This window comes from Homo sapiens, chromosome 20 (genome assembly GCF_000001405.40).
Source record: "Homo sapiens chromosome 20, GRCh38.p14 Primary Assembly".
In the NCBI taxonomy this organism is placed as follows: domain Eukaryota; kingdom Metazoa; phylum Chordata; class Mammalia; order Primates; family Hominidae; genus Homo; species Homo sapiens.
The window spans coordinates 60748577-60776408 of NC_000020.11; the positions used below are offsets into that span (position 1 = coordinate 60748577).

General features: G+C 43.8%; 1 long non-coding RNA gene across 9 annotated transcripts, besides 1 other annotated feature; it reads left to right on the forward strand.

The window, feature by feature from the left end:
• The first annotated feature begins 1855 nt into the window (after positions 1–1855).
• Positions 1856–27054, forward strand: LOC105372699 (uncharacterized). Of its 9 annotated transcripts, XR_007067694.1 has the most exons (9): positions 1906–2400; positions 4745–4877; positions 6331–6584; positions 7462–7681; positions 10334–13418; positions 13711–13911; positions 18646–19241; positions 26417–26575; positions 26665–27054. It is a non-coding gene; the product is annotated as an uncharacterized LOC105372699 (long non-coding RNA). The 9 variants fall into 9 exon arrangements; XR_936945.4 differs by lacking the exons at positions 7462–7681; positions 10334–13418; XR_007067695.1 differs by lacking the exons at positions 18646–19241; positions 26417–26575; positions 26665–27054 and adding an exon at positions 16277–16357.
• Positions 26571–26740: an enhancer, noted in NCBI's record as "experimental_60829 CRE fragment used in MPRA reporter constructs". NCBI's record gives its function as "activates a minimal promoter by MPRAs in K562 erythroleukemia cells, with activity observed for both the introgressed and non-introgressed 20:59350288 variant alleles {active_cell/tissue: K562}" and the evidence as "EXISTENCE:reporter gene assay evidence [ECO:0000049][PMID:34662402]".
• Positions 27055–27832: the final 778 nt, after the last annotated feature.

Consider the following 27832-nt stretch of genomic DNA (forward strand, 5'->3'; position numbering starts at 1 on the left):
CACAGTGTCAGGATGCTGGGGTGAGTTCTGGACCATCCATTTCAGTGAGGAACAGAGACAATGTGAATCCATATCTAAATGAGATCATTTCAGGCCAATTAAGTGTATTAAAGGCATTAAGAGAGGGTGTTACAGAGAATGGCAGAGGTGATGGGGAGCTTCTTTAACTGGAGTAGTCAAGGAGGGTTTCTTAGAGGAGGTGGCATTTGAGCAGTGCCTGAGTGAGCAGGACGAACCCAGGTAAAGTGTAGAGGGCAGAGAGTTCCAACTAACGGCAGCAGATGAGTCCAGAAGCCTGATCCAGGATACGTTTAGTGTGTCTGAGAACTGAAGGAATACCTGTACTGGCTAGAGTGCAGCAGGCGGGACAGAGGGGGCATGGCCCAATCTTGCATATGGATGGATTACACTGAGGAGTCTGGGTTTTGCTCCCAATGCTACATGGAGCCATTGTAGTATTTTAATTAAGCAGGGGGTTTATGTTTTCAAATGATCTATCGAGAAACAATGTATAGCTTGAACTGGAGAGAAACAAATTGGAATCTGGGCCACAGGTGAGGAGATGGGCAGAGGTGGACACTTGTTTGAAAAAGCTGAAGATGGAGCTGCCAGGACGTGCCATTGGGTGGGATATGAGCAGTGGCGGAGAGAGAGGCTTTTGGCTTAAGCAACTGGTGGATGGTGTGTTTTTACTGAGATGGAGGACTTGTGGGGCGAATCTGGAAGCATGCTAGTCTAGGAGGGAGGAGTCAGTAGAATCCATTACCTTCCAAGAAATTGCCAGGACAGGAGATGACCCACAAGCCAAGCCAGCAGAGACAGCACTGAGACGGGTGGAGTGAGTCTTGTCGGTTAATGCAGCGTCAACATTCCGTATTCGGCTTCAACTTCGCAATACATTCGTTCATTTTAAAGGGACATTTTAACCCTGAGTTACCACTTGATCAGGTTTGGATCTCTCTAGAGAAAAGCTGGGCATCTTTTCTGGACACTTCTCAGCTCTCTCTTGTTGTAAGAACTAAGTAGCCAAACTCTCCCTGACTGGGACTGCAAAGATGTAAATGCCGCAGCCGTGAGACTCACCTCCATCAGGCCGAAGCTTTGGGAGCCTGGAGGCTGGAGCAAGGCCATGCAAGGCGTCCTCTGAACCTGTGATTCTAACATGCTCTGGGAACAGATTCAAGGGACATGTCCAGGCCTCTCTGCAAGGGAATGGCAGGGTGAGCTAATTCAGAGGCACCTCTGCCACCCCCATGGATGGCTCTATTGACAGAGCCAAAGATTTTTTGGACAAAAGTGAAAGAAACTCACTCAAAGTAGTTGAAGAAATAAAAGGGTGTATTTATTGAAAAGATGAAGGAGAATCTTACCAAAGCCAAGGACAGGGTGTGCCCTGGACAAGGGCAGGGTGGGAGCAAGCGAGATGTTCTGCTGACAAGAAGGTCCCACGGTTTCTGGTCAATTTTGCTGGAAGTCCTGCTCCATGTCTCTGTCCCTGTCTCTTCATCTCTCCATCCCTTGCTGTGAGTCTGAGTGCTTATCTCTGTCCTTTTGTGGTTTGAGTGTGTCAGGGGGTGCACACCTACCACCATTTCTCTGGATGCCTCCATAGGTGTTTCTGTTCCTCTGCTTCAGTGTTCATCTCCTGTCTCCTTCTCCTCCTTTCTCTATGCTCTCTTTCCACGTAACTGGTGACGGCTGAGCCAACATGGCAGCCTCTGGCCTAAGAAGTAAAATTATTTCCAGGTTAAGCCCCTTGCAGAGGCTAACTCCAACCTGATTGGACGAGTGAGAGTCAGTCATCCACAGTGGTCCAATCAGCAATTGCTAATGGGAGGGCCGATGCCATCCTCCCATGATTGCAAGGGGCAGGCCTGTGTTTGGAACGGGAAGGAATTCCTCGTAGACGGGATGGTTGTGAGCGGGACAGAAACTCCACCACAAGGGTTCTGGGGGTACTACAGGGACTAAAGGAAGCAGTGTGATCAGTGTGAAAGCAGCAAGGCCATGATTTATTTCTTGGGCGTGTAGTTTTCTCCCGAGGCCTCTGCTTGGTTATTTTACCCAGCATCGGTGCCAAAGGAGATTTCCCCAAAGGGAAAAGTACTGCAGTGCTCGACGCATTACAGTCCTTTCCCGTTTGCAAGCTCTCCCACACATTCCTTCTTCTGTTCCCAAATCACAGGAGACGACGAGAAAGAGAACAGACCACCTGTCCAGATAATTTGCCTTTGGAGTCTGCAGGGCTGGTGAAGGCATCCTGAGATGGGGGAGGCCCCTGGGGACCTCCACAGTCAGGGCTCCCACCTCCTCTCCCACACCGCTCTGCCTCATGCCCTGGGTTGCCTGTCTGACTGTCTCAAGACTGGGGGTTCTCCGGTGAGCAGATGGCTGCTTAGCGTAAGTAGAACAACATATTTTTAAAATAATATTTAACAGAAGGGAAGAAGGAGGCCTTACCGCAGTCAAACCACCCTTCCTAGCTTGAATCCAATGCATCCTCCCATAGTGTAAAGGCCGCCCCCACACTCTCTCGTGACAACCGTGGGGTGTGAGGTGCGGGGTATGTTGCTTAATTCAAAGACAGGAAAGCAGCTTGGGTGCATCTTTAGAAGCGTGAGCACCCCCAGTATCCACTCTCGGTATTTCTCCAGATCCTCCTTCGTCAGGCACCTTTCCCTGCCTGTCCATTTACTTTTATTATTAAATTTTCCATCATTCTACTCTTTGGACCCTTTCCTTTATATGGTCTTTTATTCTCTCTAAGTTTGAGGCTTATTCTTCAGCTACTAAGTTCCTTACACATGATATTATTTATTTCTCACTCTGCGTGTCAGCCCCTCCTCTCCCGCATTCAGAATCTTTCCCCGTTGACTTCTTTGTCACTCCAGGCTCTAGGTAGAGGAAGTGGCTGAATTTCCAAATGAATTGTTTCCATGATAAAAAGGGAGGACCTCTCCACACATTTTGCATTTCTGTTCACATTTTTTTAAAACAAAGAAGAAAGAAAATAAAGACAACTCACCAAATTTCAGCCACTTACTTAATTTGTGTTTTCTTTAAGCAAATCACATTCATATTCTAAAATAAGTGATGTCAAAAAGAGATTATATACCATTACCTTAAGTGGCAAAGCAGTTAGTATCCCTTTGCCATGAGGAGAAAGTAAATGTAAAACTAAATACAGTGGACAAGAGCTATTGATACGATGAAATCCCAGCTCCATGAGGTGACTTGAAGAAGCCTCTGAGCCTGAAGCCCCTAGGCTCCTGGTTAAAAGGAAGAATTATCCAGTGCTAAAAAGTAATGGAAGCCTCACAGACACCAGGCTGGAACTTTCTTCTTGTAATCGCAGTCCTTTCTCTGTGTGATTGATTTGATATTTCACACCTCGTCTGTGTACAGGGAAGGCCTTCTCTGGCTTGTCTTCTCCCTCTGAGACCAGCTGGGAACCGACCCTGAATCATGGATGTTTGTTGCTGGAAAGGTCTTCAGCTGCCCCCTAATCCCTTCATTTCACACTCGGAGTAACTAGGGCTCAGAGAGGTTAAGTGTCTTTTTGGCGGTCTCACAGCTTGTTAGTGTTGGAGGCCGCTTGCAGGTGAGGAGCGGGTTTCTCAACCCTGACTTCCCCATGTGCAAATGACAATGGCTTAGGCTTCAGGAGTGTAGGGACTCTTTGGGGCACCATGTTAGCGTCTCATTTTTCAAAAGGCTAGACTTTCAGTGCTGTCTGTCATTTTCAGCAAAGGTGAGAGCTGCATTTGCATAAAACCAGGTCTCCGATTCTGCATTTTGACCCACAGGGGCAAGACTGAGCCTCCATCTGGAGGTGCAGCTACCACTAGGCTCCAGTTTCAAGGTTTTCTGAGATTTCCTGAGCGCTTCCAACCAGTTTATCATCTCATTTAATGAGGAAGAAGGAACAATTCAAAACTATCACATCCCCATTATTCAAAGTCTCTCTAGCCTGGACTGGTGCAGCTCAGGACCCTAGTAACCTGATGATATTGGATATGAAAACCCCAGCAATTTGTAAACTGTCAAGCTTAATAAAAGGTCTTTGTGCTAATGGGATTGTATTGACTCGAGCATTATCAGAAGAAGAGGTTGATGGAATGCTAGGACGAAACGAAGACATGACACACATTTTGGGTGCATCTCCCAGGCCCTGTAAATTTGGGTATTGAATTGGAAGCGTAGCAGTTCATTGGCCATGACCACAGCTCACCGTGGCCACGCCCAGCTCTGCTCACTGTGCACAGCAAGGAGAAATTTGAGATTTGTTGTCCCGATACAGGCAGGAAGCATGAGCGTGTACGGTGTGTGTTCTTCCCACACCCGTGTCCCTGGACCCTTGCCAGGTCCCCTTTCTCTCCTATTCCCTCCCACGTGAAGCACCAGTGGCCAGCTCTATTTTGCGCCAGATGCAGACCCAATGCTATGAGGACACTCTGCTCAGCGAAAGGTCGCTCAGGGCTCAGGAGGCCACGTGTAGGAGCCAGTAAAAAGGGCGAATGTGCATTTGCCTTCCTCCTTCTCCTTTTCAAACAGCTCCCTAACCACCCAGCAGGCCTGGCTCTGCTTTCACACAGGAAAAGTCCATTCTGGCTTTCCAAGGCCCTCAGGCAGCCACAGCCCTACGTGGCCTCATTCCAGCAGGAAGTGTCAAAGGAATTCTGCCCTGGGACATCTCACTTCTTTCCTGATAATGGGCCAGCACTGTCCTTCCTCCCCTTTGCAGGTCTGAGGGGCAGACACCATGCCGTGGTGACAGCGTGATCCCTTGATGGAAAGGCCACCAGAACCACTGGTAGTGCAGCTGGACACTGCGGAGCCCTGGGACCACACCCGCTGCCTCCCTCCAGACTCCTTAGGTGAATAAATGAAGCTCACTTGGGTGAAGACTTTTGATTAACGAAGCAAGATTCTTGTTGCTCATAGTCCCAAGCATAGCAAGCTGAGATGCTGTGCAGACCTCAGACCAGCGCAACCATCCACGTGGCATGTGCTGTCTTCATGGCTCACATCTCAGCTGTGGCTCACATCTTCATGGCTCACATCTCGTGGCCCCACAACTTGTGCCGTCGTGTTGCACATGAGTGCTGAGTTGAGCAAATAGCATCTTCTGCCTCAGTGGTCCCTGTCCCCCAGTGAGACATGGCTGTGCTTTGTTTCCCACTCACCATTGGTTTTGGACCTAGAAATCAGTTTCTGAAATGCCACATCCTGGTGCAGATGGGTAAAAACATGCACAGGAAAATCAAGCTACTGAAGGTCTGAGTACACCTGGCAACGTGCACAGATTTCGCTGTCCCTCTGGGCCCATCTCCTCCAATAGGACAAGGAGAGCCTCCCACACCTGATGCTGGGGCGTGGCCTTTGGACAGCACCTTCCTGGTCTCTAGGATTGAGAGTCCATGTATCAGTCAGGCAGGAAGATGGGGTCAGAAGGCTGTGGCAACTTGAGAGAGATCTGCCAGGTTTCTGTGAAGATGGCTCTGCTGGCTCCACATTTAGGAAGGACAGGATGGGAAGGGCCTCTGTGAAAAACAGAACTGGACAGACTCACGGTTTCCTAGTGGAGTTTGCAGTGTTGATGAGAACTAAGAACCGGCTCAACAGTTCCCTCTCTTAAAAACTTTCTTTTCTTACTAATATTTCAGAAATGTTGGTACCAAAAAGCCTATAATTTCATCAGAAAATATTAAGAAATGTTAACAACATGTAAGTCAGGAGAGAGAGCTATCTTTCCATATGAAAGCTCTCCGTGAGGGACAGTAAGAACACTGATCTCTTCCAGTTTCTTCTTGTATATGTCACACATTAAGCCTCATGGGGCCCCAGGTGGCAGCAAGACTCCTGACAACAGGGTAAAGATCCTCACCTCTTGTTGGTTGGCCCAGAGTCTTAACAATGTTGGTTAAAAAATGTAGGGTTAGGCCGGGTGCAGTGGCTCATGCCTATAATCCCAGCACTTTGGGAGGCCAAGGCAGGCAGATTACAAGGTCAGGAGATCAAGACCACCCTGTTCAACATGGTGAAACCCCCGTCTCTAATAAAATAAAAAAATTAGCTGGGAGTGGTGGCGCGTGCCTGTAATCCCAGCTACTCGGGAGGCTGAAGCAGGGGAATCACTTGAACCCAGGAGGTGGAGGTTGCAGTGAGCTGGGATTGTGCCACTGCACTCCAGCCTGGCAACAGAGCAAGATTCTGTCTCAAAAAAAAAAAAAATGTAGAGTTTAGAAATTAATTTGTATTATAGAAAGAGTTTTCATTGTGTGTGGATTTGACCAAGGATTAAATTCTGTACCCCTTTTCATATCACAGGTCTATGCCGTGTGCCTGGCTTTTTCCAACCACTCCGAATTGATCATTTCCTAATGACCACATGGCTCAGAAACTCACAGCACATCCTTCTAGGGGCCTCTTTCTCCCAAGTCCTCCCAGGGACTTGGCAGCTTCATCTCTAAGGCCTGCAGAGGCTGTGGCTATGGCTGTCCATTGTTCTCGCTCCTTGGCTTCAGTTCAGAGCCATCAAATCCCTGCAGCTCGCACACTGGAACATTCATATTTTGGATAAGGTAAGTTGAAAAATAATTTACTAAAAGTCAGTGCATCATCTTTGTAACATTTTTCAGCATCTTGACAAAAGTGAGAAGTCATTCTCAATGATAAAGATAGTTTTGCCAGTTAATTTTTCCCCAAGATTCTAAAAATATTATTTATTATTTAGGAAACTGGTTAATAAACACTAATTCTGGTGAAAGAAAATGCATGCTGCTACATAATTCATTAAATCCCAGTGGCTCTCTGCACACCCCGCCATTCAGAAATGTTTACATGCTGAGCAAACGATTTTCAGTGTATAGAAATGAATTGTGGCTGGAGATTGCAGGACTCTGATCACCAAACTTTCCAGCCACCTTTTTTTTTTTTTTTTTTGAGACGGAGTCTTGCTCTGTCGCCCAGGCTGGAGTGCAGCGGCACAATCTCGGCTCATTGCAAGCTCCACCTCCGTGGTTCACACCATTCTCCTGCCTCAGACTCCTGAGTAGCTGGGACTATAGGCGCCCGCCACCACGCCCAGCTAATTTTTTTGTATTTTTAGTAGAGACGGGGTTTCACTGTGTTCGCCAGGATGGTCTCAATTTCCTGACCTCGTGATCCGCCCGCCTCGGCCTCCCAAAGTGCTGGGATTACAGGCGTGAGCTACCGCGCCCGGCCCTTTCCAGCCCCCTCTTACCTTATCATTGGTTTTATATTCAAATGTCACCCTGGGAGTGGCACAGGGAGGGAGGGAGCCCACAGCATGGGAAGCTTCAAGAGATCCTGGCATTTGGAGAAGGTGGGTGAGCCTGGAGTTCACCTGGAGAGATTTTTACTTTCTTCCACTTCTAGAAACACTGCCCATTTTTTTTTTTGGTGGGTTTTGTTGTGTTTTGGTATTTTTTTAAGCAGTCAACAAAACAGCTTCTAGAAAATGGAAAACCCAGAGTGTGATCTACCAGGAGCTCCTGGTTTCAACCAGTTCCTTGCTGTACCTGCTGGGCCTGTGATACGAAGAAACATCATGGCTTCAATGGCAGCCTTGGAAATGAACTTCATTGAAAGGGAATTTACACTGAGGTTTATGATTGCTGCTATGAAAAGAGTGCACATCCTTTCCTTCGAAACACAAGTAAGTAAGAGCCACATGTTACTGTGACAGGGCAGTATTTTAGGGATAAAGAAAAATTAGAACTATTTTAGTCTTCACTAGCATATACACACAAACACACACATATAGTTTCACCATTGATGGAATAATATGCAGCAGATAAAATGAATAAATTAGAGCTAAATACGTCTAAATTCATAAATCTCAAAAACATAACGGTATAGTGGTGAGTGAAAGTAACATGTTTTGGAAGGGTATATGAAACATGATCAAATTACAATTTTTTAAAAACACAGGATAATACTATGTATCATTACTGGTCACATGCATGTGTAGTAGAAATATGAAAACATGAATCAAAGGATATCACCAAATTTGAGAGGTGGAAAGTAGAATGGGCACAGATCTGAGACGTTTTCCATAAAGAATTATTTTCTCTCTGTACCATTCTATTTCTTTAAAAATATCTGAAGGGAAATGAAAAAAAATTAGTATTTGCTAAGTTGTGGTTTCAGGTCCATGGGTCTTTTTGACATTCTCCATACTTTTCTTTATATTAATCTTTCATATAATCAATGGGGCAAATTTTTGTCTAAGAAAAAAGGGATCCAATTGACTTTTATTTAACTCTTTGGAATAAAAATACGAAGCCAGGTCAACCTGTAAGAATGTGAATCAATTCCCATCTCAGATTCCTCATCACAAAGGCCTAAAGATCATGGGAGTGGGGAAAAGGTTGCACAAAAGGACACGATTTGTTCACTTCATACAAGTGTCCTTTGAAAATAGAAGCACAAGTAAAATCTTTTTTAAAAGAATTTTTTTGTTTTAATTTCAACTACTTTTTCAGTGCTGTGAATGTTCCATATGAAATGCTTTTCATGGTAGAAATTTCTTTTTTTATTGTATATATTTATGGTAAACATGACGTTTTGAGATATACATATATGTAAATATATGTGTATATATATCTCACTAGATATATGTTACTATACATTTAATGAAATTATTATCATGGTGAAGCAAATTAACAAAGCCATCATCTCTTATAGTTACTTGTGTGTGTAAGAGACAGGTAAGAGCATCTAAAATCTATTCTCTTACCAAATTTCCAGTAAAACACGATATTATTAACTGCAGTCATCATGCTGGATATTAGAGATCTAGACTTATTCATCATATATGACTGCAACTTTGTACCCATGACCTACATCTTCCCATTTTCCCCCCATCCTAACTCTGGTAACCATCATTTTACTTTCTGTTTCTATGTATTTGACTTTTTTTAGACTCCACTTATAACTGAGTTTCCTGCAATATTTTTTCTTTTTGTGCCTGGCTTATTTCAGTTGGCATAATGTCCTACAGTTTCACCTATGTTGTCGCAAATGGCAGGATCTTCTTTTCTAAGGCTGAATAGTATTCCATTACACACACACACGCACACACACACAGCAATTTATCCATTTACTTAGGTTGTTTTCATATCTTGGCTATTGTCCATGATGCTGCTGTGAGCATGGGAGCACAGATACCTTCATATGGTGCTGATTTCATTGCCTCTGGATGCATATCTCGAGGAGGGATTGCTGGACCGTAAGGTATTTAGCTCTAGTTTTAATTTTTTGAGGAAACTCCATACTGTTTTCCATGATGTCTGCATCAATTTACATTCCCACCAACAGTGGATGGTGGCTCCTTTTCTCCAGACCATCACCAACACTCATCATTTCTTGTCTTTTTGATAATAGGCATTCGAACAGTTGTGAGGTGATATCTTATTGTAGTTTTGATTTGCATGTCTCTGATGTTTTCTGATGTTTCTCTGATGTTGAGCACCTTTTTGTAAGCCTGTAGGCCGCTCGTATGTATTCTTTGGAGAAATGTCTATATAGGTCTGTTGCTCACTTTTAAGGAGGTTTTGGGGTTTTTTGGTATTAAGTTGTAGCAGTTCCTTATACAATTTGGATAGCAACTCCTCATCAGATAGATGGCTCACAAATATTTTCTCACAATCTGTAACCTGCCTTTAATTTTGTTGATTGTTTCCTTTGTTGTGAAGAAGCTTTTAAGTTTGATATAGTCCCATCTGTTTATTTTTGTTTTTTGTTAGTACTGTAAGTGCTAGCAAGGACAGACAAGAAAAAGAAATATAAGGAAACTAAATTGGAAAGGAAGAAGTAAAATTATCTCTATTTGCAGATGACTTCATTCTATATGTAGAAAACCCTAAAGACCACCCACACCCACACACAAGTGTGTATGCACGTGCATATGCATGTGCATGCACACACACACAGATACACACCCACACACCGCTGTTAGAAATAAGAAGTGAATTCAGTAATATTGCAGGATACAAAATCAACATACAAAAATCAATTGCATTTTTTTACATTAATAATGACCTATCTGAAAAGAAAATCGAGAAAGTAATCCCATTTATGATAACATCAGAAAGCATAAAATACTTAGAAATAAATTTAACCAAGGAAGTGAAATATTTGTACACTGAGAACTATAAAACATCGATGAAATAAATTGAAGAAGACACGAATAAATAAACAGATGTCCAGTGTTAATGGACTGGAAGAATTCATATAGTTAAAATGTCCATACTACCCAAAGCAATCTACAGATTTAATGCAATCCTTATCAAAATTTTCTTTACAGGACTAGAAAAAAAAAACTCTAAAATTCATACGGAACCACAGAAGACCCTGAATAGCCAAAGCAAGCTTGAGAAAAAAGATTTAAAAGAAAAGCTGGAGACATCACAGCTCTTAGGTCAAATTATACTACAAAACTATGGTAATCAAAACACTAAGGTACTGGCATAAAAACAAATACGTAGACAAATGGAACAAAACAGATAGCCCAGAAATAAGCCCAACCATACATGGTCAACTAGTTTTCCACAAAGGCACCAAAGAATCATAATGAGGAAAGGATGGCCTCTCCAATAAATGACCTTGAGAAAACTGTATATCCACATGCTAAAAAAAGAAAAAAAAAAAAAAAAAGGAAATTGGACCCTTCTCTTCCAACATGCACAAAAATCAACTCAAGATGGACTAAAGACCTAAATGTAACACCTGAAACCATAAAAGTCCTAAAGGAAAACACACAAGAAAAACTCTATGACATTGGCCTTGGCAGTGATGTTTTGGATATTTCAAGTTAACTCGTCATTCACTGACTCCACATAAAATCCATCCCTCAAATATTCTCAGAACCTATCACCAAGACTGTGATCACTTCTTTGGGATGCTTTAAAGTTAATTAGGAAAAATAAAACTGGGTTTTACCTTTGAAAAACTTTCTAACTGTACTGATGTGCTCAAATAGATGGACACATGAATGAAAAATCCAGAATTTATTCTTTCCATGTGGTCTAGGTCCCTCCATATGTTTCTCTGGATTTTGCCATTCACTGAATGCACACGAACACTGAATTTACTCTCTATTGCTGTGTAACAAGTTATTGTAAAATGTATTGGCTTAAAACAACAAATACCATTTTTGCAGCTTCTGTGGATCAGGAATCATGAAGCAGCTTAGTCGGGTATTTCAGGCTCAGGGCCTCTCATGAGGTTGCACTGTAGATGTGAGCCAAGGCTGCCGTCATCTGAAGACTGGACTAGGGATGGAAGCTCTGCATTTGGGATCATACTCATGGCTGTGGCCCGGAGGCCTCATTTTTTCACCCTTGGGCCTCTCCGTGGGGCTGCTGCCAACAGGGCCTCCCTAGAAGGAATGACCCAAGAAGAAGAAAGAAAGACCAAGCTAGAAACCACCGTGTCTTTCATAACCCAATATCAGGAATGAAGAAGCACCTCTTCTGTGTTCTTTTGGTCTCGCAGACCAACCCTGGTACCATGTGGAAGGAAATTACACAAGAGTGTGACTATCAGGAATTGAGGATCACTGGGGCACCTGGAGGCTGGAGTCTACAGGTACTTTATGGCGAGTCATGGCGATGGTGAGGAAGCAGCTACTTTCATCACAGGTAAAAACTGATACACAAAACACACAAACAGAGAGGAGCCCTATATTTCTGCTTCTCCTTCAGGGTGAATAGCAGCCACCATTCACCCTACCAGAGAGATGTTCTTTATTTTTTTATTGCTGGCTGGATCTTAGGCAAAATAAGCCTCTCCTGTTTCCCCAGTTGAGGACAATTGAGAAAGGCTTATGTTTGCCAAAGAATATCTCATGCTAGCAACAAAACTTTTAAGGAAATAATTACAGAAAGCACACAACACCCTACAGTGAGCAGAACGCAGCTCCTTCCCTCCACCCACCTCCCCACTACAGAGAATGATCCAGCCCAATGCCAAAAGCACTGAAGCCGGGAACCCTGACTGAGATCTCAGCTTCAATGCTCCTTCCTCAGAGACCTTTCTGTCCCTGACCTTTCTGAGGAGTATACCCTCTTTTTATGGGCCCTCAAAACCCCCTCCCTGTGGCATTTGTTTTAGTTAACAATTCTACACTTATGCATGTGAATTTGTGATTAGCATCCATCTCCCCCATCACAGTTATGAGGGCGAGAGCTAGTTTCCTCCCTGTTGTGCAGGGCACATAGCACAACGCCTGGCCCCGTAGTCAGGCTCACTAAATATTTGCTGAAAGTAGAAATGAATAAACAGGACTGTAGCTTCTAGGGGCTTCTGTGGGAGCCAGTATCGCCATTCATACCTGGGGATTATGGGATATTTTCAACAAAAACATGCACTTTGCACAAAGTGAAAGTCAGAGCCTGGAGCCTGTGCAAACGGTGCCTTGAGCAGCTCTACGGCGAGTGTGAGGATGCAGTCAGGGGTCCTTCAGCAGGAGCCGGGGCATCCTGCAGAACACAGGGCCGGGATCTTCAGATGTGCAGCAGGGAGGGGGCTTGGCACAGCCCCATGAGTTTGAGAAGCTTGAGGCATTAAGGTGAGTTTCTTGTGGTGCAGCGCGCCAGCAGTGAAGGGAAGTGGTTCTCTCTCCCCTCATGCACAGACACGCACAATGTCCAGGATCCAGGCAGAGAAGCTTCATCAAAGTTGTCTGTGTTTTGCCGCAGCCGAATAAAAGCTGTAGGCTTTTCTAAGAAGGGTTATAAAAGGGAGCAGCCGTGAAGCCCGTGGACAAGTCATCAATTACAGCAATTACAGTAGCACCATAACCTTCCCAGGCTTGCTGGAGGGAGGTTGCTGTGGCCACAGGAGGTGCACCGCGGATTACAGGACTAAAGGCCTTCTCTGCTTCTTCACAGTGATCCATCTCTGCCCAGCACCCAAGTACTGAGTTAACCTACAACGTGGTTCAGAATTAAAACATAAAATGCCAGGGCCCTCCCCCAGTTAGCAGTATTGGTTGGAAACATGTTTAGCAGTGAGTAACAGAAGTCCCAAGAAATAATGGCTAAAACAAACAAGAGTATGTGTCTTCACATAGTAAGGTATCAAGAGGTGGCTGTCACTTTAAGTTCACTTTCTCATGGATGCCATCAAACACCAGGTTTATTCAACCTTCATGCACTGCCATCACCTTCCCATCCACGGACTCTTCCGACATCTGCTGAACGTCATCACAAGGGGGCTGCCATAGCTCCACCCGTTGTATCAGCATTCAGGGAAGGAGGACAGTGCCAACAATATGTCTGCTCATTTTTTTAAGAGAGGAAAAGACTCTCCTGGAAGTCCACGGCAGCATTATGCTTACTTCTTACTTGCCAGAACTTTGTCATATGGTCAGACTTTAAAGCAGAGAGGTAAGAAAATAAATAATCCATCTTCAAGTCTCTATAGTGGATGGCATCAGAAAAGGGGGCAGGGATGCCTGTTTTATAAGTCATCTCACGTTTTCTGCTGCGTCAGCCAACTTAATAATTAATCTACATTGCCCCCCATTTACATTTTTTGCAAAGCAAAAATGGCAGACTTACACCAGAACCCTAAGGGTACCATGACACCATGCAGGCTTTCATTCATTCCTTCATGCTTCCATTCCCTTATTCATTCATTCATATCACAAATATGTGTTGGTGGCCTCCTGTATTTCAGGCCTTTGCTGTCAGTGGAATACAGCAACACACAAGACAGACACAGTTGCCTTCCCGCTGAGGCTGGACGTCTACAAAGAAACTCTGGACAGCTATTTGCCAAGGCGATGGGCACTACAGATGAGACGCACAAATGATATGACTCATGGGTGACGCTGGGCAAACCTCGGTGGTTGAGTCCTGTTGGGTTTTCTCATAGGAGGTGAGTTGGAAGCGGAGACCTACAAGTAGGTCAGATAGGATGGTGTGAAAAGAGCCCCACCCAGCCTACAGGGACCACATGTAGGGATAAAGAAAGGAGCAGGATAATTTCCAAGGACTAGAATCCCAGCTTGGTTGGAGTTCAGAGCCTGAGAGCAGAATTTTCTCCAGGACAAGGCAGAAGGAACTTGCGGGAAGCTTCCCCTATCACCCCTGCTCCCCACACCTGTAGAGATTAAATGAAGATATCTGTTTCTTAAGCACCTGTACCCCCACCACAGCCTCTGGAATGTGATAGGCATGTATTTGATGAATGAATGAATGAATGAATGAATTTCACTCAGCTGACTCTCTCTAAATTCCAGCTTCCAGTCTGCCTCTTCTGTTGCACAGAAAGCTTTGAGAACCCAGGCTAGGTTTACCAGTTGTTTCTTCTGAGTCTAACACAAAAGACATGCTTATTAATAGCTGTGGAATTGATTTGAATTACATGCAAACTCCCTCAGAAAAAGACCCATGTCTAACTGATCTTTGTACCCTTCATCCTTGTACTTCAAAGACTTGCACATATGCGTCTTCCATGCACATTGGGTTGGGGAGGTGGTGAAAAAGAATGAAGGAAGCCACACTCAACCCGGTTTCCACACTCTCTCCTTCGCTCCTTAGCAGCCACTGGGTGCATAGGAAAGGGCGGTCTTGTTCTCCCCTAAAGCCCCTGAAGCCCATGTTTATTTATAGCCAGATTTCTGACACAGACAGACCCCTCTGAAGAACCATTAAAATGAGTTCTAAGTAATGAACATCATACCATGTAGCAGAGACATCCCCCACTACTTCAAATTTCCTGCCAAAACATGCCAATACACTGGAAGCCAATTTATTCTAAATTACCAAACTATGCACTTGCAGTTAATGAAAAGGCTATTTCTGAAGATGTGTGCGTGCACACTGATATATTCAGAAGCAAATGACACCCGTGCTGGTGGATACACGTTGGTATTTCACACAACCTCATTTAAAACCTGCAAGGGACTCAGCCTAGATTAACTGCAGACTTCGGCAGTCATGAGGGATATGACTAAAAGCCCTTTGAGAGAGGAAATCCTCTTAATAATATTGCTCTGCCCTGCTGGGAAGAGACAGGGTGAGCCGGCACCTGCCCATCTCTCTTGTCTTGCCCTCTCCTCTGCCTCACTCTGACAGTGGAGGGGCTGCAGGTTGTGTCAGGTGGTGGGCTCTGTAAGGTCGACAAGCAACCTGGAAATTTAGGTGGCTGTCTTAGACCTATTTCTCTCTATCTAGGTGGGCCAGACTCAGCCTCTGTTCTTCCTGAGCCTGGGTTTCTCTTCTGAAAGCCCACAGCTAGGTCAGCAGGGCCAGCCTGGGCATCAAGTGGAGACCACAGAAGGAGCCAAGCACACACAGGCCACAGCCAAGCTCAGCCTAGCCCTGGGGCTGGAACCCTGAGTCCTGTTCCGTGGACAGCATCTTCCCAGCCCCCTCCTTCCCCAGACCCAGTTGGCATCGTTGGCATCCAAACTCCACTTCCTGATCCCAGGCCCTCAGTGCCTTCCTCACACACACACACAGACACATACACATACACCCTCTCTCACACACACACCCTCATTCAAACATGCATACACACACACCTATACACACATTCACACACACACACCTGTATGCACGCACATATACACACATTCACACACACAGGTATGCACATACACACACGTACACACATTCACACACACCTATATATACATTCACACTTACATGCACACTCACACCTATATACATCCACACACATCCCTATACATATATTCACACACACTTATACACACATTCACACACTCATGCACACTCACACCTATACACATCCACACACACCCCTATACATACATTCACACACACCTATACACACATTCCCACGCTCACACACTCCTATGCACACATTCACACACTTACACAAACACACCTATACACTCATTTGCACTTACTGTCACACACACCTATACACACATTCACACACGCTTGCACACTATCTCACACACCTATACACACATTCACACACTGTCACACACACACTCACATACACTCCCCTTAACGTAGGCAACACTGTCCACTACCTCCGCTCTTCAGCAGAGGCAAATCCAGGTTTTGTGGGACCTAAAACTCATAATACAACTTTTGGAGCCTTCTTTAAAAAGAAAAACAGGCTTAAAAATAAATGCTAATTTAAAATTGGAAAATAAGTCACAATAAATTATGGTAGCCCTTGGAGTTCAGGTTCTTTCTTCTAAGATTCGTTGGGCCTTGCTATCATGAATATGAGTCCCGATTGCATTCTGGCTTTCCCTCCCCAGCCAGGACGTTCTATGGCTCCCAGCAGCTCCAGCCCTCAGAAGTCACCGGCCCTGAGGCTTCAGCTTTGTTAGCCTCCAGGTAAATCCCACTCTGTGATTCCTTCCCTGAAAGTGGACCTTGGTGGAGCTGAACCTCCCCAGATGACATTGGGCCACGCACTGCAAGGAGAACACCATTCTCTGGAGGACGTATTCCTCACACACGCACACACACACATGCATCAGAGTGCGGTCGGGCCTCCAGATCTGGTTTCCTGCTAACCAGTTTGCAGGAAATACAGGGGATACAGAAACCATGTCACATGACACCATGGGGTTTTACTCTGCAAAATCCAGAATGCAGGAAACTACCGGACAAATGGCCCAGATTCCTCAATAAATAAACATCAGGAGCTGAAGTGGGGAGAAGGGAGGATGCAACAGATGAAAAGAGATGGGAGAAAGAGCAGCCAAATGCACTATGGACGTTTTAGGATCCCAGTGCAAACCAATTAAATATAAATACATAGACATTGACCAGTAGGACGTTTTAGCATTTAATGAATATTTGATTTTGGAACTTATTAACAGTGTTAGGTATGAAATTGTTGTTAGATTGTGTTAAGAAAAAGAGGCTTAATTTTTCAGAGGTGTGGACTGAAAAATTTGGGGTGAAATATAATGATATGAGGGACTTGTTTTTAAATAACCCAGTGGAGGAGGTGGCAGGAGAAAGGGAAGGGAAAGAGGAGCTAAAGATGATTCCAGATCGGCCACATGTTAGTGTTGACACGGGGTGATGGACACAGGAGGCTTTATTGTGTTATTGTGTCTGTTTGAAAACTTCCATAGTAAAAATAAATAACCCCAAAGTGAGTGCTATAGCCTCAGTTTCCCCAAAAGCAGGGGTGGAGACGAAGGCATGCAGAGAGCAGTACTGAGTGATAAGGGATGGAACCAGGGACGTGGGCACAAGGCCACTGCCGTGACCACAGCTCCCTCCTAGGTCCCAGTGAACCTTGTTTGGGACCTAACTAAATGCATTTCACAACATTTTGCTGAGGAGTCTAAGGGGAGAAACACTGATTGTTCAGCTGCCTACCTGCTCAAGGGCGGCTCCCTGAGTGTTGTCTCCCAGCACTTCTAGCTCACACCTGGTGAACACCCAGGTCTGTGCAGGCATGGCACACGGCCATGAAACAAGAGGCACACTAGTGACGAAGGTTCAGAAGCTGCTCCAAACCTGAGAGCAGCTGGTCACTGCAGCAGGGTTGGAATAAGACACACTGCAGAGGAGGTATGCAGATGTGCACAGTAGTGGTGCCAGAGAGAGGCTGGAGACGAGGGCTCCAAACACAGAGTGATGCAGGGAAGTGGAACGGGAATCCGGTTCTGCTACACAGACATGGGTGCGGGGAAGTGGATCGGGATTAGAGCTCTTTGGTTACAAGTAACACAATCAGACTGTGGCTAAACTACATGAAAAAGAAAATTAAAACCGAGAGAATCAGAGGAACAGTGAAAACTCAGGAGTGGTCAGGGACCAGAGCTGTTCTGGTCGTCTAGTGGTGGAAACCTCTGGCCAGACTCCTCAGAGTATCTTCACAGGATAGGCCTGCACTAATCATTCTCCATCCTGGGCCATTCTGTGCTAGACTCACCACTCTAGGGCCCAAAGTATGGGTTGTGGGATGCAGAAATTGGCTGGGAAAGGCAGGCCAAGGGCTCATTTGTCAGAAGAAAAACTGGGTGCTGTAAATAGAGGAAAGGTAGTGGTTTTGTCGGGCAGTGTGCAGCATAAGCCCGGTGCGTTCTAACAGCATTGTTAGCACAGATGAACCCCCACTTGATACAGTTAGAGGAAGGGATACTTTTCAATAATGGACCTTCAGGCTCCCCTGTTTTATTTTTTATTTTTTGAATTTATAAGCTATTAGAGGAAAGTTTAAAAAGCAATATAATAGAAACCCATATCACCAAGATTAAAGGAGAAAATGCCATCATTTTACCATTCTAATGAAACAGGATAGAAAGCTAAACCCCGATTTCTGGTTTCTCTCCCCTAACACTCTCTCTAAAAATAATCACTTCTGAAATCCTTGTTCATCCTTCCTTGGATTATTAGACTAACAACATATGTATGCATCCATTAACAATATCCACATTTCTTGTGTGTTTTTAATATTACTTGCGTACAACAATATTCTTTCTTTTGCAAGATACTTTTTGCATTTAGAATGCATTTGATACATATTATTGATACATGTTGATATTATTTTCACTGCTGCACAGTGTCTTGCTGTAAATAAACCCACTATTTATTTTTCCGTGACATTTCTGAAAGTCAACTTTCTTCTTCCTTTTTTTTTTTTACTTTGCTACTTCAAAAGGTGCTTCCAGGAACATTCTTGTGCAAGACCGTGTGAGAGTATCTCCAAGATAGACAAGTGGAAGTGAAATTCTGGGCCATAGTGGATGAACACTTGCCAAGAGGTGTTGACAAATTAGTCTTAAATGAACCTGTACTGCATTTTAAGGCCTGGGAGCTCTTAGTGGCCCCATCCTTTCCAAAGCTTGTGTGGTTGGCCGAGTAATGTCTTCCAAGATGTCCAATTCCCAATCCCTGGAACTTCTGAATGCTAGCCTGTATGACAAAAGAGACTCTGAAGCTGGGATTAAGTTAAGAATCTTGAGTGGGGAGATTATCCTGGATAATCCAAATGGGTCCTTATAAGAAAGAGGCATGAGATCAGAGAACCAGAAGGTGATGTGAGGATGGAATCTAAGAGAGAGTTGAGGATGCTGTGGCTGCTGGCTTTGAAGGTGCAGGAAGGGCCATGAGCCAAGGAATGTGAGAAATGGAGCTGGAGTTGCCAGAAAAGGCAAGAACAGGGAATCTTCCTGAGAGGCTGCAGAAGGAGCCAGCTGTGCAACACCTTGACTTTAGCCCAGCGAGACTGTTTTCCAACTTCTGAGCTCCAAAACTGTAAGAGAACAAATTCGGTTTGTTTTAAGCTACTAAATTTACAGCAATTTGTTACTGCAACAATAGGAATCTAATACAGCTTGGTATTGTCCTTATTATTTTTCTGCCAGCCTGGTAGAAAATGATATGCTAATGTTTTGGTTTGCATTTTCATCCTTACCAGACCAAGCATTTTTGTATCATATGTTCATTGCATATTTAGGTTTTCTACTCTAGAGAGTTCTTGTTAAAATAGTTTTGCCAGATTTTTCTCCCCTTATTATTTCAAAAATTATTATTTTTTTCTGAATATTCTGGATATCAAACTTTATCCCTGATACATATTCCAGATACTCTCTCCCAATTTGTGAAACTGAGTTTAATCATTCAAATATTTTAAATTTTGTTGTATTCAAATTTATCACTTTTTTCTTGAGAAATTCTTTACTATCCCAATAAGTTAAAGATATTATTCTATATTTTCTTTTTAAACATTTGCCTTCCACTGTAGGACTTTAATCCATCTGGAATATATTTTTGTATATGGTGTTATGTAGGGATCTAAATATATCTTTTTCCATATGTCTAGCCAATTGTCTCTGCACCGGTTATTACAGTCCATCCTTTCCCATTGACTTGAGATACTGCTTCTCTCATGCACAAATCCTCTACAGCTGTTGGGATTTCTACTGAGGTTAATCCTGCTTCTTTCTCACAGTTGTCTTACCCATCTTTGGTCCTTTACTCTGTTATATGACTTTTAGAATCAGCTGTCAAGCTCTGTTAACTTCTGAGATTTTGTTTAGGATTGCATTAAATCTGTGCTTTATCTGGGGAGATTTCCCACCTTCCTGGTATTACTTTGCTTGCTCTTCTTTTCAGTCTCTTTGGCTGGTTTCCTTCTTATCTCCATGTCTTGCCCTCAGTGCCTGAGCAGGTCCCAGGGCTCCTTAGTTGGAACAACAATCTTCTCTCTCTATGCATAATCACCAGAGCAAGGTTCACAGATTCCAGCATGTTTCACATCACATAGATGGCTTGTTAAACACGGATTGTAGGACCCCATCCCTGAAGCTTCTAATTCAGTAGGTTGGAGGTTAGGCCCAAGAATTTGTCTAACAAATCAATGCTGCTATTCCTGGGACCACCCTTTGAGAAGAGCTGTTCACGGAGCCTTTTTTAAAAATACCATCTATATACTGATAAAGTTTTATGCTCAGCCTAAACTTCATCCACCTTCCTCTGAACTCCAAAATTCCATGTACAACTAACAATGTAGTAACTTTAATAATCACCTGAGACTTTATAGATTCCAGACCTAACTCCTCATTCCCTTCCTCCTACACCACACTCCATATACAGTTGATCAGCAAATCCTACTGGCTGTACTTTCAAATGTATCCAGAATTTGTTCTCAGTTCTCACCACCTCCACCATGACTGCCACTTGGATTATAGCAATAACCTCAAACTTGTATTATGGTTTCCACCATGGTGCTCTTTCAATTTATTGACACACAGAAGCTGTGTGAGCCATTTAAAGCCTAAGTTAGATAATCTCACTCCCTTGCTTAAGAATTATCCAAAGATTCCCATCCTACTAGTGATAAAAGTCAAACTTCTTACAGTATCCAGCAGAGCGCTGCCTGACTGCACCTGCCTAATTCTCTTGCCTCAAATTCCACCATTCCCACCACACACACCCACACTCCCCACTCCACCCATACTGAGATACCAGTTTGTCATCTCTCAGCACACCAAGCATGCACCTTCTCTGGGCATTGGTGTCATTTTTTCCCCTGGCTGAAATAACTTACTCCAATATCCTCCTGGCTCATGCCCTCACTTCCTGCTCAAATATCACATTATCAGGATTCATTATCCCTAAATTTTGTATAAAAAACAGAAATCCCCTCCACTCTCTCATTTCTCATCTCCCTCACTTTGCTTTATTTTTTCTCCATATGATTTATTAACATCAGGTATACTATGCATAATGTTATACGCTCCATTAAGTATGAAATTCATTCACAGAATACCACCTGACCTGTGAAAATTGCTGAATTTTATTTGTCAAATTAATTAAAAGATTAAGTCTTTTGTTCATGAACATGGTACACCTCATCATCTAGTTGAAACTTATTTTATGTCCTTACTAACCTTTTATTATTTTCTCTCTAAAGGACTTCTTTGTCTTTCATTAGTTTTATTTTTAGCTACTTCTACAGTTTTTAATGTTGTGAATATCTTTTTAAAATATGCCATGGTCTAATTGTATTCTTTATTGTTAGGAATACAACTAATTTTTCATCATTGTTCTTGTACCTGTCTGCCTTGTTTAACTTTTTTATTAGTTCCCATAGATTTTCTGTCAATTTTTAAAGTTTTCTGTAGACAATCACACCATCTACAATTAATGGTATTCCAGTCCTTTAGTTTTTATTCCTTTTCCTTGTTTTTCTGCATTACTAGGGCATCCAGAGTCATGATGAATAATGTGATAATCAGCCTCCTTCGATTTCAATATGGAAATTAACCCCAAGATCCCAAATCAACCTGACTGCATATTAGAATCATGTTGGGGAACTTAAAATAATGCTGATGGCTGAGCCCCATCCACACAGATACTTAATGAGACGGGGCATTAATGTGGTTTAATATTTCCCTAGGCAATTCTTATTCATAGCTAGAATTAAGAATCTCTTCCCTAGATTATAGAGATTGTACCCCTCCTCCCTTTCTTACACCTAGATGTCACATAGCATAGGTATGCAAACTGCCTTTTCGTTCTCTCTGTTTCTTATTGCACTTGGGGAATTTGTTTCCTTTCTTGCATAATCAATTGTACATTTAAAAGCACATTTGTCATATTTAATATACCATTTCTTGATTTTGTAGGTAACGGGATGTAAAGGTATCTATGCCATCAGATGTTCCAAATCAAAAATCTCTTCACAGACTTCGTTGCATACTGTGTCTCATGACAGGCAAAACTCTGGGCTGCTGTCTTCTTAAGCAATTATCAAAACCAGTTGAGACACTTGCTACTCTCACAGCAGTGTCTCTCAAACTCCCCTGCACACTACAGTAACCCAGAGAAGTTTTAAAAATCCCTATGCCAAGGCATTATGGCCCATACCATTTTAATTAGAATCCCTAATTGTGGGGACTAAGTATAATCATTTTTCAAGCTTTCTAGGTGGTACCAGTGAGTGGACAAGTTTGAGAACCAGAGGTATACAGCATTCTGGCAGCCTCACTCAAACAGAATCTCCAGGGGTGGCACGGGGCATCATCATGTTTTACAAGCATGTCAGGTGAACATCATACATGCAAAGAGTGAGGTGGTCTCTGAGCTTCTCTGGACCACCATCTCCTTGCCAAATTATGAGAACAAGAATCAGCATTGCAGAGATAATGCCCTCTCATTACAGCTTAACCAGGCTAGGTCGTTTCTTGGTCGTTTGATTGAACAACTGGAAAATCATTCTTTTTTTGTGCATTGGTTCATTCATTCGTTCTTTTATTCATCAAACTTTTATTGAGCTCCTACTATGTCATAACCTGCTCCCTTATTTTTTTTCAGAGAATTTTCCTCACCTAAGAATGGTTGAGTTATTAATTTGTTGGCTTCTTTTAATCTGAAGCCTCCATATTCATAGCAGAATATAAAACTGGTTCAATTTCAAGCCAAATTGGGTTTTCAAATAAAGAGAGTAAAAATGTGTCAGGAACCCATTCCCCTGTTTTGTGTGGTGATGCCTTCTGAGTTTTAATCCAACAGATGATGTTTTCTGTGGATCTTGCTACCTGTACATGGAGGCAAGATAAAAGATAAATGGTCCTCATACATAGAGAAACAGCCCTCAGGCAACAGAGAAAAGGGCACTTTGATATGCACCACTTCCTCTTGTACACAACTACTCCAAGCATCTATTTTCACTGACTACTTTCCTGGAGTCTGGCATTTCCAAAGGGGAACACAAGCATTCACTTTGTCCTCGCATATTCGACAAGATGTCTAGAAATTCACGCCTACTGCCCCTTACTGGAGCACCATAGAACTATGGCATTCCACAGCTGGCAGGTGATCATCTCATGCACACTCTCCCACTGTGAAGGGAGAAGGAGCTGAATCTCAGAGAGGAAAGCAGATGTGCCATTTTCACATAATCATCAGTGGCAGAGCTGAGATGTAGCCAGGATGGCCCACTCATCCCTTCCACCCCACTGTCAGTCAAATATTGAGGACAGCGTCAGTGCTACCAGCCAGGCAATTCATGCAATTCCTACCCACTCCTTCCAGTTCAGATAAATGTGGTGAAAAGGCAAATAAAACCTGGCTAAGCCCATCCAAAAAGGACTTAATATGTGAGCTGTAAAGCTGTAAATTGTGTACAAAAAGACTCACTTACTATCATTCATAGTTTTTCAGACATGGTCCAGGGCAGCTTAATTTACAGAGTGCTTAAAGGCCAAAAGTTTTGTTTTAAGATGGGGAACTCATCACACATGTTTACCTTCCTTCATTTCCCAATTTTTAAAGAAAATATATGTTGTTTTCTAAATAGGAAAATATCTACATCAGAGAAGGGTGCAACCCACTTATCTGAAATGTCAAGAAATTTACGAAGGATATAGGGCAAGAAAGAGAGGATGCCCTGGATGAGTCACCAAAAGAGATTGAAACACCTAATGGAGAAATAAGGGATGGGACCACATGCAGCAGCTAGGAGCAGCAGGGGTTCAGAAAGGGCAGGCAGCCCTGAGGCCAGACACCGAGTGTGGGGAAGCACACCCAAAAAGAGGATTTCATAGCTGGCTGGGACCCTGGGAGCACCTTCTCTCCACTCTCCAGCCTATAGACACAGAAGCCACCTTCGAGGATCCAGGGAGCATCCCACCTGCAGGATGCATTTTTCCCCAAGCTCATCACATCCTCCACAGTAGCAATCCTAAGGCGGACCCATAACAAGGGTTTCTGACAATAGAAATATGGTTCCTCAACGTGACTGGCACCCAATGAGGTCCCACCTTGTACCCAGCTCTATCTGGGCATGAGGGAGCAGAGAACCAAAAACCACAGGCTCCACCTGAAGGTGCTCATGGCCCAGCTAAAGAGATGGAGCAGGGCAAGGAATTGCAGTGCAGGAATTGGTATGGGGGACACCTTAGGAAGCTGCCGAGGGGACACCCAGCTGCATGTGAAGGCGTCCGGGAAGCTTTTCACTGGAGGCGTCTTGAAGAAAGATGTGAGGGGTAATTTAGGTGTTAACCAGAGTTAGGGGCAGCTGTCAGAGGAAGCGGAGCCGTAGGCCGAGTGACTTTCCAGGTAGGGCAGTCAATTTTGACATTCCCAGTGCACTCTGAGCACGGGGAAAGGCAAAAGAGCAATCACATAACCCGGGAGAAAACACCCTGAGAAATTGCCCCATAAATTCAGGGATCTACATGTGGCATCGTCCTCATTTTATTCTTTACTTGGCTCACTTTATCACTAGAAAATCCAATGAGGACTTTTATGAAGACACACACATAATTAATGGGGATAACTCATTAATTTACAAGCCAGCTAATCGATAAGCAGGTTAATCTACTTAGGCATCTGAAGAATTACCGTGTAGCTCTCTATTTACACTGCTATTTAGTCTCGTTCCACTTCATCAGCTTTTTGGTGGCTATTAAACTGACAGTGCTGGTCACCACATAGAAAAGCTGATGGATTAATTTCTGCTAACATGATATTCTTCTGGTATATGAATAGCATATTAATGGCCCACAACCAGATGATGGCATTTCCCATCAGGAGAAAAATATATTTCGTGCATTTCAAAATTTCAAATCAATCTTTCTTTTACTCTACCCATCTATTTAATTTTCCGGCTTGATTTTTTTTTTTAATGTTTCAAACAAAAAGTGAAAGCGAAAACTTTGGTTTTGTTAAAAATAGTTATATACTTCAGAGAGTATTTAGGCTTTTGGGTTCAAAAAGAAAAAAAAATAAAGCAACAAAATGGGATTTGGTGTCTAGAGCTCCCTGTATGTTGGAGTGATTTTAGGTCAGACCTAAACTCAAGTGCCAGTGGAAATCAGACCAACAGTGAAATGAATGCACTGGGCCTATTGGTGGCTAACCGGCCGGCACTTAGCTTCTCTCAGGAAGGCCACCTTTACATGGCTTGTAGCTGTTGCTTTGTGAAAATCCGTTGCAGCTTGTAAAGATTTTCAGTTTTTCAAGAGAAGCCAAACATCGGGTTTTGGCAACTCTATCAGACAGTTCTTAGTTGCAGGTAACAGAATCCAGTGGAGCTGATTTAAGCAGAAATGAATTGATTATTGGACCTTGGGTAGCATATAGCATTTCCAGGAAGACCAGGGAATCAAGCCTGGATACCATGCAGCCAAGGCAATGCCATCACAGGAACCCCTCAGCCATACTATGGAGTGTGCCAACACCTGCTGCCCTAGCAAGTCACAGCCCTCAGGACACTAGGGACCACAACCACTGCTGAGCATCCCAGGGCCTTTCCGCTCTTGCTGGCCTCCCCATGCCAGCTCTCTCCTCACTCTCTCCCGCCCTCCAGGACGTGGAGATTGTCTGCTTGCTGGCATCAAGGTCAACTTCAGCTAGCACCGAGGTCACCTGCAGCACCAGCTACAAAAGAGTCTGGCAAATGTAGATTTTACCTTCCAGGCTCTGTCTTGCTGAAGAGCTGGTTTGAAAGAGGTTAAAGTTGACTTGAGTAAGCCAACATCCAGCATTTGTCTCAACAACTGACAAGCAAAATTAAGGCTGTGCAATTGAAACAATATTGCTCTTTGGGCTACAATGACTCAATGGGTCAGCAGTGTCCTGCCTGTTCAGTAATAATTTGCAAGCAGAGATCTTATTTCCCGTATTCCCTTGTGGCACAGCACCTCCCACGCCAAAGCAAACCAAAGCAAAGGAGCCCTTGATGAGGAGGGGCCTTCCCCCAACCTGGTCTCCCACAGGTCCTACATACGTACCCACCCCAGACACACAGAGCTGCTTCCTGCTCTCACACCAGACTGAGCTGTGCCCAGACATTTCCCCTAGCACTAACCAACTCTTTCAAAAATACATTTTTCTCTAAAAAGAACAAGTTTAAACAAAGTTGACTCATTTTAAGAACTGTTTAGAAGATAACCTTGTGTTTATTAATTATGTATTTGCAGAAATTGGAGGCAGAAGGTTACCAACATTGCCTGGTGTCCAGCCAGGAGGTAGAGCGTGGTGGCATCCAGAACCTTCCTCCAACTCCTGCCTGGCGTGGTTTTTATTCATCTTTGTATTCCCAAGAAACTTCTCAGTGTCTCAGGAGTGTTAGGCACTCAGTACGTGTTTGGTAGTTACATGAATGAATGCATAATGACTAAGTGAGTTAATGGATGAAGCTAATTGTCTCTCCCTTTTGCTTTTCCAGAGCTTTCCAAGGTGAAAGTGTTGGACACTCTTTCTTCATCTCAGATTTAATCAACTAAGAATGCTGCAAATTGAACACCAGTCCACAAAACTCAGGAATACATGAAAAGCATTGTGCCTTATTTTTAACTAACTCAAATTCTATGTCAGTCTCCCTTTTATGCTGGATGTTGGCGCTAAATCTCAGTGGGTTCCTCATTCTGCCAGACCTGTGTCCAGTTTGGGGGCTTCACATAGAGCCACCCCATCACAGGAGAGGGAAGGGTCTTGCTCTTGGTTGCCATCACTCCACCCTCTTGTCTTCCGAGCTTTGATGTTCACTTTCCTTTTCACCACTCGGAAGCTTCCTGCCATGATACATTGAGACCTCAATGTTAATGCCAATTGGGGTTTGGGGTTCTCATAAACTCAGAAGTCCAGGAAAATCGCCTGCTGCCTCCCACAACACTCTGAGGGCATTCTGGAATCCTACCACTTACCTGGAGCCTGCTGGCCTCAACTGTTTTGAAGTCTGTGTCTGGGCCATGCAGGTAAATGGGAGGATGTTCTGTGGCCATAAAAATACCCGAAGTCCCACCTAAAGTTGATGCAGGGTCTTCTGCATTTCATTGCAAAATTGTTCTATCATTTCTATAGTTTTCAGCCTACAGTCAGGGGCCAGGACTTTGCACCCTTGGTAAACCTCAATCTCTTCTCCTTCCTGGCTTCTACTCCTTTCTCCCTCAATCCCAAATCAAGGCCCTTGATTGTCTGGAGGTAGGAAAGCCTGGTTCTGGCTCATGATATAGTCTACATCATAGCCTTTGTCATCTCATGGATTCACTCAACAACCGTGTGTGGATGGGGCCACCCAATATGTGCCAGGAGTTGAGGACACGCAGGGTTATGATGATGAAATAGATAAGGGGCCCACACTCACGGACCCTGCAGGACAGTGGAGCTGTGGACCCAGCATGCGAGTAAAGACCCAGTGAGCTCACCAGACAGATCATTTAAATCAGGTGATAGGACAGTGAAGGGCGGGGGCTGCATTAGTTTTGGTGGCAAGAGAAGGATTATCTTCTGAGAGGATCCACAAAGTAAAGAGGGCCGGTATGACTGGGTAGAGTGAGGACCGTGGTTGAGGCAGAAGATGGAGCTCTTTATTGAGCTCTAGGGAGCCCGTCGGA